Below are 15848 nucleotides of genomic sequence, written 5' to 3' on the forward strand. Positions count from 1 at the left end.
TATAAAATATATATATACACATATATATAAAATATATATATACACATATATATAAAAATATATATATATATTTTTTAAAATATTCCAATTGTCTCACTTTGTGGATGAGAAAAAGAAGTAGTTAGAGGTCAAGTAACTTGGCCTACATCTTTTCTCAAGATTGTAAACTCCTAGTGAGCAATAACCACATCTTCATTTTCTTTGTATAAAACAAGAAAGTTTAGCATGAAAAAGGTACTCAATTACAAATGTGTTGGATTGAATTGAAGACCCTTGGAAGGGGATTTTGTACCTGAGGATCTCTTTCTTTTGGCCATATTGTTCAATGGACAAAATTTAGCCTTCGAAGGCAGGCCGATTTGAGGTTAATACTACCTTTACCACTTGATAGCTATGTGACCTTGGCCATGTGGTTTCAACAGTCTGAACCTCATTTTCTCTGTGTATGTGTGGTCCTCCTTACAAGTTTGTGAAAAATGTGAAGTCCTTAGCCATGATAGCCCAATATAACAGGCTAAATGATAATAGGTTTATGTTCTTTTCCTTTATATTCTCAGATAAGCACTGTCCAAGTTTGAGGTGTTTTGAGGTCTCGCCTGATTTGGATTGTTTGAGTTTATGCTATTCTTTGAATTCTTTGAGCTGTTCTGAAGCAGTGTATCATGAACAAAAACATCCCCAGTTCAGTCCAAACCCCTGGTTACATATCATTCTTATGCCATGTTATAACCAGTTTGAGAGTGTTCCCTCTGTTATTGCATTTAAGTTTCAGCCTCACACAGAAATTCAGCAGCCAATTTCTAAGCCCTAAGCATAAAATCTGGGGTGGGGGGGGGGGATGGCCTGAAGAGCAGCATTATGAATAGCACCATTATAATTAATGATCTCTCAGGAAGATTTACAATCACAGGTAGCAGATAAAACAAATAGTACTGCTTCTGCACTTCCCCTCCTTTTATTCGCTATGAAATTTTATGGGAAATCAGTCCAGTGAAAAATGTAAGCTCTTAATCTTTCCCAGAAATCCTACCTCATTTGATGAATACTTTGAGGGAATGAATTAGAGCATTTTTTTCTTTTATAGTCTACTTCGCATTTACGAAGTGAGGACGGTAGCTTAGGCTGCCTGGCCAACTGATGAGAAGGTCAGAGGCATTTTTAGAGACCTCTGTTGTCTTTCATTCATGTTCATTTTCCACAAGGCAAGTAATTTCCAACAAATCAGTGTCTTCATTAGTAATAAGATTATTAACAACAATAATAGTCATAGTAACTATTCAGTGAGAGTCCATTATATATCAGGCATTCTACAAGGTACTTTATATACATCTGAGTAAACCTCACACAATTCTACAGGGAGGTATTTCTATCCCCATTTAACAAATAAGGAAACGAAGTCCAAGTAAATTAACTTGCCCAAGGTCACACAGATAGTACCTGGCAGAACAGGAATTTAAACCTAAATTTGTCCAACTCCAAAAGCAGCCTTCTATTTGTTATAAATGCTGCCTCTCATTATCACATATTTTATTATTAACAACAACAAACATACCAATTAGCTTAAGATACAATACAACCAGATAATCATGATGACAACAGTAATTGTTATACTATTATAATAAAATAGATGTTTTGTATGTTACTATAATCTTGAATTTGAATAGAAATTTGCATTTCTGAAAGCATGTTCCTGTCATCTAATATGATTCTGTATCTATTAAAATAGTACTACATCTAGAGTTCTACTACTAGATTTATTTATCACTGAGAATGGTTTGGACGATTTAAGAGAAACAAGACTTCTTAAATTTCTTATATAGTTTAGAATGAAAAGATATAGCAGGAATAACCTAGTAAGAATTTTCATGTATAGAACAATATGAATTGTACATCTTGGAAAAAATGTGTTTGGGCTTCAAATGCATTATACAACTTTAATAATACATACCCAGAAGAATGTTTTGTTTTATTAATCTTGTCTCTCCAAGTAAGATATGCTAGTTCCATCAACAATAATTAGATTGTTATGCCTCTGGCTGAGTTTTAGAAAGTAATATGCCAATGAGGAATCACTTCCAATTTCTCATATAACAGCCTTGGATGAGGAAGAATTCCCTTCTGATGTTGAAGCTAGGAAGTTGTTGGGGGAAGGAAGGTTCTGAAATAAGTGGTTCTGATACCATTTATTTTTGTCCACAACTACCAAGTTTTAAGTATCAGAGACATTGAGTAGTTGTGGTAAATGGAACAGTGGCCTCCCAAAGATGTCTGCATCCTAATTCCCAGAACCTGTCGATGTTAACTTCTATGACAAAAGGGATTTTGTATAAGTGATCAAGTTAATGATCTGCGATGGGGAGATTATTCTGGTTTTTCCTGGTGGGCCTCATGTAGTTGCAATGGAAGCAGAGGAGTCAATCAGAAAGAAGGTGATATGATGAAAGCAGAGGGAGAAAAAAAAGATGTGATACAGAGCAATGAACCAAAGAATGAGGACAGCCTTTAGAAACTGGAAAAGGCAATGAATGGCTTCTCCCCTAGAGACTCCAGAACCAGCCCTGCCCACACCTGGATTTTGGCCCTGTAGAACTCATCTCAGATTTCTGACTTCCAGAACCATAAGACAACAAATTTGTGTTGTTTTAAGCCTCTATGTTTGTGATAATATACTACAGCAGCAATAAGAACCTTATGCAATACTTAATTTGGTCAAAATCTGCAGGTGGGTTAAAAGTGAAATAGGCTGACTGCAAATTTCTTAAACTAGTCCAGAATCAATTTTGCAATAGAAATTACAAATTTTAAAATCAAAACAGAAACAGTGAGCTCAGGGGACTTTTTAAGCCATGCCCTCAGGTAAATAACTCCTCTATGGTGTCTATTAAGGATGGTTTCTTAGCATCCAGAGTCTTGCTCTGTCTCCCAGGCTGGAGTGCAGTGGCGCAATCTCGGCTCCACTGAAAGCTCCACCTCCCAGGTTCACACCATTCTCCTGCCTCAACCTCCCAAGTAGCTGGGACTACAGGTGCACACCACCATGCCTGGCTAATTTTTTTTAATTTTTAGTAGAAACGGAGTTTCACCCTGTTAGCTAGGATGGCCTCGATCTCCTGACATTGTGATCCACCTGCCTCGGACTCCCAAAGTCCACTTGTTCTTATAGGGAGGAAGAGTGAAGATGAGTTGGATCTTTCTCCATTTCTCAATGATATTGCAGCTCCACTCCCATACTGAAGACCCACTCTTCTGTATTGAGGCTTTCTCAGCTTCTGGCCATCAGAATAAGGTTGGCTTTTCACCTCTCCCTCAAACTTCTGAGCTCTTATATATGATTAATTGGTTTAATCATGATATGGTTTGGCTCTGTGTCCCCACTCAAATTTAATGTTGAATTGTAATCCCAACTGGTGGGAGGTGACTGGCATGGAAACGGATATCCCCCTTGCTGTTCTTGTGATAGTTAGTGAGGTCTCATGAGATCTGGTTGTTGAAAAGTGTGTACCACTTCCCCCTTCACTGTCCTTCTCCCACTCCACCATGCTTGTTGATTTCCTGAGGCCTCTCCAGCCATGCTTCCGGTAGAGCCTACAGAACTGTTAACCAATTAAACCTCTTTTCTGTATAAATTACACAATCTCAGATAGTTCTTTATAGCTGTGTGAGAATGGACTAATACAAATTATCTCTTGCTTAAAGAAATAATGGTTAACAACACCTGAAATTAAATACATATCTGATTCCACTCCAGACCAATTAAATGAGAACCTTTGGAAGTGAGGCATAAGCATCTATATTTTAAATTTTCCCCAGGTAATTAGTCAGGACTGTGAACCATTGTTCTAACTGAGTGATAAACCCTATTCCTGGCCAAATTTTAATCACCAATGTGATTGTGTCTCCCCCAAATTTCCATGTTGAAGTCCTAACCCCGGTAACTTAGTATATGTCTGTATTTGCAGATAAGGTCTTCAGAGAGGTAATTAAGGTTAAATAAAGTTATTAGAGTAGGCCCTAGTCCAACATGACTGGTATCCTTGTAAAAGAGGAGATTAAGACATAGACACAGAAAGAGAAAAGACCATGTGAAGACACAGAGAGAAGATAGCCATCTGCAAACCACAGAGAAAGACCTCAGAAGAAACCCTGCCAACACCTTTGTCTTGGACTTCTAGCCTCCAGAACTGTGAGGAAATTAATTTCTGTTGCTTAAGCCATCCAGTTTGTGGTACTTTGTAATGGCAGTCCTAACAAAGCTAGTATAGCCAGTATACCAGTTAAAAATTTTTATCAAATCCATTGAACATTTTTATCCTAGAAACACTCATTATCTGAACTCTGAACATTAGCATGGGGTATACTTCTTTGCAAGGGGATAAAAAGTAATAATAACTTTCAGCATAAGAAAATGCCAAATAGGTGAATTGCTTTTAGTTGCAAATAGAAAACTCAATTATCACTTTCTTAAAAAAATGATTATAAAATTTAAAAAAAAAAAAATTAAAAAAAAAATTAATTATCTCATATAATAAGAAGTCTGCAGGTGATGAGGAGAGAGATGCTGGAGAGGATCATCTGGTCTGAAGGCCCAGGCCTTTTCTTTTTGTCCATTTTACTGTTTTCAGCACGTTTTGGTGGAGTTTGTTTGTTTTTGTCCTCATGCTGGTTGTCTTCAGGCTGCTTGTTTACATTCCTACCACAAAAAGTAGAATGGGCAGCACCAAGTAACTGGCAAGTCATGCTTGTCCCTTTTTATGGAAAAGTAAAAGCTTTTCCAAAAGCCTCCCAACAGACCTCGGTTTGCTAAGGCCACAGCCTTCTGTAGGTGGAGGGGAAGCTAAAGGTGGAATACTTCACAAATGGGAAAGGAACATTCATGACTGGCTTAAACTAATGGTTCTCGATAATGGTTCATCCATGATGTCATCTGGAACAAAATTGGGACTCAAATAGCAAGACAGGAAAAGTAATAGGATAAGGATAGTGATTAATATGTTGTGGCAGACACAACTAGAAACTATTTGCTCATAAAACAGGGAAGATCTAGCTGGATTGGGGCATATTTAATGCAAGACTAAAAGGATCATTCAGTGTCTCCATTCTTCCTCCACCTCTCTTCACTTTCATCTCTCTCCCCCTCACCTTCCTCTCTCTCCCTCTCCCTCTCCCTACCTCCCACTCCATCTTTTCCTGCTTTCATCACCCATTTGCTCTATTTCTAGCACGTCTTCATAGCCAGGATTAGATAATCAAACAGGACTATAAGAAATACTCTTTTTGGCCAGGCGCAGTGGCTCACGCCTGTAATCCCAGCACTTTGGGAGGTTAAGGCAGGTGGATCACGAGGTCAGGAGATCGATACCAGCCTGGCTAACATGGTGAAACCCTGTCTCTACTAAAAATACAAAAAAAAAAAAAAATTAGCCGGGCATAGTGGGGGCACCTGTAGTCCCAGCTACTCGGGAGGCTGAGGCAGGAGAATGGCGTGAACCCAGGAGGCAGAGCTTGCAGTGAGCCGAGATCATGCCACTGCACTCCAGCCTGGGTGACAGAATGAGACTCCATCTCAAAAAAGAAAAAAAAAGAAATACTCATATATTTATTTTATATATATATATATATAGACAGCCTCACACTATTGCCTGGGCTGGAGTGCAATGACACGATCTTGGCTCACTGCAACCTCCGCCTCCCGGGTTCAAGCGATTCTTGTGCCTCAGCCTCCCGAGTAGCTGGGATTACAGGCGCCCACCACCATGCCTGGCTTATTTTTTGTATTTTTTAGCAGAGATGGGGTTTCACTATGTTGGCCAGGCTGGTCTCGAACTCCTGACCTTGTGATCTGCCCACCGTGGTCTCCCAAAGTGCTGGGATTACAGGTGTGAGCCACTGCTCCTGGCCTCTTTTTTTTATTTTTGAGACAGGGTCTCGCTCTGTTGCTGAGTGGAGTGCAGTGGCGTGATCTCGGCTCACTGCAACCTCTGCCTCTCAGATTCAAGTGATTCTCATGCCTCAGCACTTCCCAACAGCTGAGACTACAAGCCCGCACCACCACACTTGGCTAATTTTTGTATTTTTAGTAGAGATGGGGTTTCCCCAGTTTGGCCAGGCTGGCCTCAAACTCTTGGCCTCAAGTTATCTGCTTGCCTCAGCCTCCCATAGTATTAGGATTACAGGCATGAGCTACTGCACGTGGTCACGAAATACTCTTTACAGAACCAAAACAGACGACCATGCAGTGATTAATTGAATGCGTTTGGTGACAGACAGCTCACTGCCTTCTGCAGAGATGCTACATATGATAGTACAGGTTGTGCTCTGCACAGAGCACCTGCCCAAAGCAACAGATGGATGGGGCCCAGAAGCCACTGTGTCAGGCTTTGTCCAACTAGAGAAAGAAGTGCCTTTTTCTAATTCACAAAAAGATACCACACAGGCTATCAGGGGCCCTGGCAGTATGAGGGTCTCTTTTCCAGTGTTACATGTCTATGACTGCTATCAGGTTCTCTTTTACAATGAGACAAAATTTACCTCCTCAAAGATTCTATTTAATGTTCATTTAATGGCTTAGAGCTGCTTAGGACACATTTGCTCTCCCCTCTTAGTCCCCATGATATCTTTTCTCTTCCAGGATACTCAGCCCTTTTTCCTCCAGACATGAACACAGCTACAACACAGCTCAGATTCAGCCTTACCATTCACATTCATTCTTCTTTTATTATAGCAGCAGGTGGTCAGTGGCCCTCTTAAGCTGTAGCACCATAGCTTGAACATTGAAATAGAATGTCCCAAAAAAGAGAAAGAAGATGTGGAAAATAAAAGGCCCTGTTCACAGAAATCACCTTGCTGCATGGCCGTGAAGGAGTAGACCTGAGCTGGCTCAAGAGTAAGTAGCAGAGTTTAGTGTCATGGAAGCCAATAGAGGAAAGAGTTTCAAGGATGAAGTGAGGATCATCAGTGTCTCATGCTGTTATGAGGCTGGGAAGTAAGATAAATACTGAAAGTGTCTAATCAATTTGGAAATTGGTCATTGGCGACCTTCATCAGATAAGTTTCAATTAATGGATGAATATGGATAAATTCCAAATAAGGCAGTAGAGAAAGCAAATGCAGAAAAACGGCAAGCTGGCCAGGTGTGGTGGCTCATGCCTGTAACCCCAGCACTTTGGGAGGCCAAGGCAGGAGGATTGCTTGAGCTCAGGAGGTGGAGATCAGTCTGGGTAACAGTGAGACCCCCATCTTCACAAAATATAAAACAGCCAGGTGTGGTGGTGCACATCTGTAGTCCCAGCTACTTGGGGTGGGGCTGCAGTGGGAGGATCACTTAAGTCTGGGAGGTCGAGGCTGCAGTGAGCCAAGATCATGCCACTGCACTCCAGCCTGGGTGACAGAGTGAGAGACCCTGTCTCAAAAAAAAAAAAAAAGAACAAGAACAAGAAAGCAAGAAAGGCGAGCTTATGGATGACTCAGATGGTCAAGGAGTGTGTGTGTGTGTGTGTGTGCACATATGTGTGTCTTTTAGGATGGGAGAAACTTAAGTACGGTCACAGGCTGAGCAGAAAGAGATAGGAGAGAGAGAGGCTGCAACCTGAAATCAGGAAGATGATTATTGGAAAGATGATTATTGAAGCTAACTTTCTAGAAGACTTAGTCTAGAAGACCAAGAAGTCTGGGGTCAAAGGCACAGATGGAGAAGTTGGCTTTGAGCAGGTAGACTAACACATCTTCCATGAAGCCTGAGAGAAGGAGAATGTGCAATAGAAAATGGGGAAACTCCTTTGAAATTAGTACACAGAAAGGTTTTGGACAATTTCTTTTATAAAATGAAGTAATTTCAGTGTTAACACATCCCTCCTTCCCTCTCCCCATGTCAGCAGATACTTATTGAATTTGAGCCATCAAGCATGTTGGCTACAGAAAAGAATGAGACAAAGCCTTTGTTCCTGAAGAGTTGGCCCAGTAGAGAAGGCGCTGCTCCTCCATAATCACTTCTCACTCCCACCACAGGACCCAGACCAGCACCACACGCAGGGCAGGGATTAGAGAGAGTTCCCTTTTCTCACAGCCAATGAGATCCTAAGTCCTTTAAATCTTCCTATGTGTTCTTGATATTTCCTAATCATTTTATCAAATGTGTAAGAGAACACAGCTCACTGGGATGGCAGGAGGAGGGAAGGAGTCAGAGATAGACCAAGTTGAGGAGGAATAATAAACTGTTATTTTAAAGCAAATGGCCTAATTCCTCTTCTGGAAAGAATCATGCTTTTTTGGAAAAATAACTTTAAGACTTGTCTACAGGTATGGAAAAAGAAACCCAGAGGATATAACCAGGACAGCCTAGTACAGTCAGAAAGGGTACACAAGTGCCTCTCACAACAAAGTGGGATGAATTCTGAGGTTTGAGTGTGGTGAGGAGGAGGGAAGTCAGAGAATACCTACAATGAGAGAGAGAGAATGAGGGCTGGAAGCACTGTGAGAGTAAGCAGGGTAGGCTGTGCTCCCAAAAAGTCATCTCTGAATAGAAAAAAAATGAGCTGGGGATAGGAAGTGAGGTGATGGCCTTGTGCTTCCTGGTGACACTGTAATTGTTGGCTTCTGTATCAGGCTGGCCCTGTGCCCTGTGAGATCCTTCAGGCAAAGAGCCAGGTCTTGACTGTTTTATTCCCAGTAGTCATGATGGTGGCCAGGTGGTTTCATGGAGCATGAAGTTTACATAATTGGGAGAGCACCCTTTAATAAGAAGAATACAAAATATATTAATGAAAAAATTATAAGTATGGAAGTGAATATATATTTAGAATGAGGGAATACATCACAAATTGAATTTTTAAAGTCTCAAAATCCAGAAAAATTACAGTCTATTTTTATTAATTAACTGCTTGTTATATCACTATATCCTTTCTCTATTTCTTGTGTTTATTCTTTGATCACCCCTTCATTTGACAACAATTTTTTGAAGATTTTTTCTTTTGAGAGAACAAAAAGATAATTCAGTCTTTCTTCTAGCATGATTGATACAATTAGATTTTTATTTTACAGAATTCAGAAAAGTTTATTTTAGTTTCACAACTCCTTACTACTCATGTCTTATAAATTTTTCAGACTGTTGTTTTAAAAACCACCACCAGTTTTCTTTTATTACGTGCTATAAGATTTCGAGGCATTTTGCACTTCCTCATGCAGTACTAATTCTGCACACTCTGAATTGACAGCACTCATTAACCAGTTTGTGGCCGATGTCTGTGTTGTGGAGGCTATGCACCTGTGAGTCACGTCACTGGGCAAGTGAGTATAGTGGACCACAGCTGTATTCCTAGAAGCCATTCCAACACAAGAAGGCTAACAATACCGAATTTTATATGGGAAGTGACTGTGAATCACATAAACATAGCCCACTAAACCCAAACATCACTCAACTTCCCTTTAGCTGGGTCCCAAAAATGCCCATGGATACTTCATTCCTTCCATATGTGAAGGTGACTGAGGTGGAGGGGAAGGAATTTGGCATAGAAAATGACAAGGATCTCAGACGACTTCCATTAAAATATCTTCCTTTAGAAATGTATAAGAATGGGCCAGGCACAGTGGCTCACACCTGTAATCCCAACACTTTGGGAGGCCGAGGCAGGTGGATCACGAGGTCAGGAGAGCAAGACCATCCTGGCTAACACAGTAAAACCCCCTCTGTATTAAAAATACAAAAGATTAGCCGGGCATGGAGGTGGGTGCCTGTAGTCCCAGCTACTCGGGAGACTGAGGCAGGAGAATCGCTTGAACCCAGGAGGCAGAGCTTGCAGTGAGCCGAGATTGCTCCGCTGAATGCACTCCAGCCTGGGAGACAGAGCAAGACTCCATCTCAAAAACAAGAAAAAAAAAGAAAGAAAGAAAAGTATAAGAACATGGTATCAGGGGATCACAATTCTGGGGAAGGGGCCAGTGCAAGTTAGGAGTTAGGGGTTCTGATGCCTCGTGAACCTAAAATAAATCTGTTGGTTTGTCCCATAAGCGCACACTGTCATATCATGGGCCCTAGATGAAGGTTGACTGAAGCAATGTGAAAGCGAGGGAAAGGAAGGAGAGGATGAGCAGGAACAAGGGCACTGCTGCCTGTAAAGAAGCAGCTGCCTGACACTGTTGGTAGTTGGTGAGGTATCATCAGTACCCCAGCCTGACCTCAGCCTGAGGAATTTGCTCTGCTTGTCTGTTGGGGCTTTGGACCTCCTGGATGAGCTGCCTGTGTTCCTCTCTCCTCTTCACCCCTAGCTGTTCTAGCTACACAAAGGGCTATATTCTCATCACCATGGCAGGAAGTTTGCCAGTCACCAAGCCTCCCTGTGTGCCTCTTTGATTTGCAACATTTAAAGGGCATGAAGAGACGCATTCAGAGGCAGGCTTTTAAACCCGAAGTTACCCTAGTGTGAGTCCCAACTGAAACATCCTTGCTGGCAGTAACTGCTGAGCACAGCTGGACGGATGTAGCATTTGCCCTATAAAACATTTGATACTTTGCCAATAAACTGTAAAGAGGGAAAAAAAGGCCCCTGTTTTCTTTGCAGTTACAGGGCAGCTTTGGAATGTGCTAACCAAAGCAAAATGTGACCCTTGCTCCATCAGAGTATACTCTCCCAGCCCTGCTGATGAATAAGAGTATAGTTAGGCCTCTCACTCAAACCCTCACTTGGCAGAGCCACTGGGATTTCAGAGCCTGTCCCCAGATCCTTCCCTTCCCTACTGCTCTTGGGTGGCTAAGGGTGTCCTCAGGAGCCACTGAAGCCATCTGGCATGGGTACCACAGTCACTCTCCACTCCACCTCTTTGTGGTCTTGTCAACTGGTGTAGCTACTGTGGCAAAAGAATGGTGACCTGCACCTCCACTGTCATTACTGTACCTCTTTAGAGCTGTCCCTTTGCTTGTACCCATGCTTCTCTGTTCTCCATACAACAAGGGTCTTGAGGCTGGGTGCAATGGCTCATGCCTGTAATCCCAGCTCTTTGGGAGGGGGACGTGGTAGGCTTAATTGAGGCCAGGAGTTCGATATTAGCCTGGGCAACATAGAGAGACCCTGTCTCTACCAAAAAAAAAAAAAAAAAAAAAGTATATTGATATATTGAAGGGAGAATCTCTCCACCCAGTGAAAACATCTCCTTCAGTCAGATGTCAGGGAACCTGGTAATCTCCTAAAAAGTTATTTATAAAGATGAATGCCCTTTCTGATTTTCAAATTCATTCTTGATGAATGTGAGTCATCCAAGGCCAAGTTGCAAGATAATTTTGGAAGATGATCAGTAGCATCCAGAATCAAGTAAAAAACATGATTCCTCCCTGCCAACGCACAAACCTACAAAAATTCCAAGATAGAAGTCATGGGCCTCCTCTTTTAGAATGAATTCCTTAAGAGCCCACAGATTCTGCTTAAGGGCATCCTGAGTTCCAATTTGCTTGAGTGCCAGTAATCTGGGGCTCAGCCATCTGGCCTCAGAGTCTTTTTTATGTCTCCCCAGAAATAAGAAGATCTGTGTGTTCTTATATAGACAGGATTTCTGGAAGCTTTGTTCTCCCAGAGTTCCTGTCTTAGTTTGGGATGCCTCAGAACCCTCAGACAATTATTTGGGTGTAAGTAGTTTACTGAGGAGGTGATCCCAGGAAACACCAATTAGGGTAGGAAGGAAGCCACCAAAGGGTGCGTTATTAAGCAAATTTTCACTGTGGGCAACTGGAGTACAATCATATTAAATAACACTGATAGCTAATTAGAATATATGCCTCAGAATTATCCCACCCAAGGAGTGGGGAAACTGGGGTCTTTAAGCACCTGTTCTCATCAGCCATTGTTTGAGAGTGTTAATTCCTGCCCTTCTGGCCTGGCATGTGGGTAGAGTGAGCTTCAGTAGGTAAAGCAAGCCGAAAATCACAGGTGCTGGCTGTTGGAAGTCAGGCCGGTGAGCAAAGACATGGGGAAGCTGGGTAATAGGGGTGGGACACTATCACATGGGCTACAGTTCCCAAGGTGGACAAGCAGGACCCACTCATGGCATAAAGAAGGCCACAAGCCAGGCAAAGTAGTTTGCACAATCTTCAGAGTGTGATGATAGTCTGTATGGTAGCCCTGAGTAATCTTTCCGGTAGGGAACAGCTGAGAATTTAGGAGCAGAATCAGTCCTACATCCCCAGGCATTGGCAATGACAAGAATCAGGCAGGAAGTTGGGGTTCAGGACAGAAATCCTAGTTCAAAGGGAACAGGGGTTCTAAGGAAGGGAAACAGAGGCATAAATCTGCATTGCTGTAGGCAAGCGATTCTCCATAAGGATGATTTCACCCTGTAAGTGTTTCAGGAATTTGTGGGCCATTTAAAAATGGTTGTCACAATTGAGTGATGCTCCTGGTACCTAGTAAGCAAGACTCATAAGTGCTAGGTATTCCTACACAGTAAAGAATTGTTCAGGCCAGGGTGTGGTGGCTCACACCTGTAATCTCAGCACTTTGAGAGGCCCAGGCAGGTGGATCACAAGATCAGGAGATTGAGACCATCCTGGCCAACATGGTGAAACCTCATCTCTACTAAAATACAAAAAATTAGCCGGGCATGGTGGCTCACGCCTGTAGTCCCAGCTACTCGGGAGGCTGAGGCAGGGGAATCGCTTGAACCTGGGAGGCGGAGGTGCAGTGAGCCGAGATCATGCCACTGCACTCCAGCCTGGCGACAGAGCAAGACTCCGTCTCAAAAAAAAAAAAAAAAAAAAGAATTGTTCAGCAACTCCAAGTCTTATCCCTTCACATATTCTTTTTATTTTTTATTTTAAAGACAGGGTCTAGCTCTGTCACCCAGACTGGAGTGCTGTGGCACGATCTCGGCTCACTGCTACCTCTGACACCTGAACTCAAGGGATTCTGCCATCTCAAGCTCTTGAGTAGCTGGAACTACAGACGCATGCCACCACACCTGGCTATTTTTTGTATTTTTTGTAGAGATGGGGTTTCACCATGTTGCCCAAGCTAGTCTCAAACTCCTGAGCTCAAGCAATCCTCCCTCTCCACCTCCCAAAGTGCTGGGATTACAGGTGTGAACCACCTCCCCTGGCCCCTTCACATATTCATATAGGTGGAAAACTTGCTTATAAATAGTTGAGTTTTTAGCTTAATTTCATTTTACATATAAACTCAGTCTTTTTTGCATGGCTTTAATACAGCAAACATTTTTCAGGAATGCAACTTCTTTTTTAATAGTCCAGAGGTCTTGTATTTATTTATTATTTACACCTGTTACACCATGAATCATAAGGAAGAGGTTCCAGCAGCTCAGGCTCCTTTTCACTGATTGTCACAAAGTGTGCCTCTCTGGGTGGAGCAGGCTGGCACTTCAGTTGAACCTAGGTGACTTTCTCTTTGGTTTCATTCTTTTTCTGATCCTTTCCTTCATGCATTTCAGGAAGCTACCTTGGCTCTCAGAGCGCTTAATATGCTCAATATGCACATTTGTTCTCTTGGCGACAATCTTGCCCTTAACTTGTTTGTTTGCAATATGCCAACAGCATGCCTGGTGACACTGTAGACTCTTCCAGTTTAGCCATGGTGACATTTATGGGGCATTCCTTTTTGAACAGTGCCCATTCCCTTGATGTCTAGAATAGCGCCTTTCTTGTAGATTCACATGTATGTGGCCAAAGAAACAACTCCATGCTTTCTAAACGGATTTGAGAATATGTATCAGGTGCCTCTCCTCTTTCCCTTTGTCTGCGTCATTTTGGCAAATTACTGGAAGATGGCAGTTCCAGCCAAAAGGTGCAACCTCCTTTTAAATCAAAAGAAGACTATATTTTGTTTTGTTCAGAACTCTACCAGGAGTTGTACAAGAGCTTAGCAAAGCATATTATTTGCAGCTAGTGGTAGTATTTGAATCACCAATTCAACATTCCTGATTGAGTCAGTTAGCATTTGCAGTTCTCACATTTGGGTAATTTTATGAAGAGATGAAAAGCATACACTATTAAGTCTTTTTATGTGGCCATCCCAGATCATTTAGATATGGAAATACATTATTATTCTATTGCACATTACTTCGCTTTTATTTTTCTTTTGTATTACAGTTAGAATATTATTTACATGTTTTAAAAAGTTGTGTGAAGGCAAGTTATATTTTCTGTGATTTTTAAATAGTGAAGAAAGCGTTACAAAATATTTGTTATAAAAAAAGGAGGGTTGAGTCTGGTAGGGCTATGAGAGTCACTGCCTGAAGCTTATCAGAGAAATACCAGGGAGAACAAGAGGAGTTCAGACGCCCCCTGCTGGTGAGGCCCGGCTGCTGCCATCCTGAGAGCCTCCTTTCCCATGAACCGTGCTCACCAACTCTGAACTCAGCCTTCAGAACTTGCTATCTGTTTTTAAAAGGCTATCAACAAACCTGATCCAGACTAGAGTGACTAGACTCGTCATATAACTGGGATGAATGCTTTCAAAATATTAGGATGTAAATATGGTCCCTTTTTTTAGAATTAAATAATCAAATTCCTCCATCTCGCACCTCCCATAAGAGTTTTTTCTGGAAGTCCAGTTCCTCTTTCCCGCGCTTTCCCTTCATTCCTCTGAGTAAGAATCATATGGAAACAGGGGTCCATTAAGGTACTCACAGGCAAATGCAGACAGAAGGCCCGCGTGTTCCCCTCCTGCCGTGGCGTCCTGCTCCCACGTGGTGGCACTGTTGAAGACAGCCCAACAGAGTACGAAAGATGCCACTGCAGAGTTGACAGTAACGCTTGCCATGGTTCCTTGAGGAGGGATAACCCCAGCCTAAAGAGACCCCATCCTTTTGGCCTAGCGTTTTCAGTTCTTAGCACTTGTTCGTTCAGCAAATTTCCTAGGAATGCAACTTCCTGGAAGACACACAGCCACTTCTCAAGGAACAAGCCAGTCCCGTTTGCACTGTGGTCCTGGTATCTGACTCTGCCCAGACCCAAAGCTCTGTCCCTTCCTCTCTCCTAGTATTTATTCACTCTGGGTGTAGGGCAGCTTTTTCCTCTTGAACTCTCAAGGTACGGAACCTCATTCTCCACATTTCTCAGGCCAGCTGCCCTTCCTTCCGCAGTTCCCAGCTCATTTCTGTTCCCGTCTATTCTGTGACATAGCAGCCAGTTTCTCTTATTAAATAATTATGACTGTATAATAACTATGCCTCTGGCAAAGCATCTTCTCTAACAGGCACCTACTAGAATTCTTTTAAGGTGGGGGACAGATTTTATCTTAATAAAGGAAGAACTTTTAAAGCCCAGAGCTTGATAATGCCTGCCGCAGGAGGTAGTGAATTCCTTGTCTCTAAAAATACTTAATATAGGCTGTCTGTGTAACCCTCACACCAACATCCCAACAGGTGTGCAGGACAAAAACACCGTCTGCCGTCATGAAGGTGTGGCTCCGGAAGGACAAGGCTTTTTAAGACAAGGACAAGGACAACTGCCTGTATTAACAGTTAAATCCCCCAGTCGCCCAAATGTGCCTACTTCACAGTTTCCCCCTCTTTTGTTGAAACTAATGAGTCACGATTGGAGTGATGTTTTTCTGTGACTCTGAAACCATTTTGCTTAATGAGGTACTAAGTCTTTATAATTAGACCCAGAAGGAAACGAGGACGTGGCCCTTAAGAGCAATAATTATTTCAGTTATTTATGGTAATAAAAATTTGAAAATAGGAATTCTTCCTCAGAATGCAACTGTTTATTCTTTTACATATTGCCTAACAGGCAATTACCCTATTAAGGCTGTGTTTGGTTGCTAAATACATTAATTGAAATGTAAATTAAATGTAAATCAGCTAATTAAATTGATATGTAATGAACTTGTCACGCGGGCCTCTCTGAT

At 42.0% G+C, this 15848-nt stretch overlaps 1 pseudogene, besides 1 other annotated feature; it reads right to left on the reverse strand.

The window, feature by feature from the left end:
- Positions 10400-10694: an enhancer, noted in NCBI's record as "tiled region #6906; HepG2 Activating DNase unmatched - State 1:Tss". NCBI's record gives its function as "activates a minimal TATA promoter and a strong SV40 promoter by Sharpr-MPRA in HepG2 cells {active_cell/tissue: HepG2}" and the evidence as "EXISTENCE:reporter gene assay evidence [ECO:0000049][PMID:27701403]".
- On the reverse strand, positions 13260-13739 carry RPL21P25 (ribosomal protein L21 pseudogene 25; annotated as a pseudogene).

Source organism: Homo sapiens, chromosome 1, assembly GCF_000001405.40.
Source record: "Homo sapiens chromosome 1, GRCh38.p14 Primary Assembly".
Classification (NCBI taxonomy): domain Eukaryota; kingdom Metazoa; phylum Chordata; class Mammalia; order Primates; family Hominidae; genus Homo; species Homo sapiens.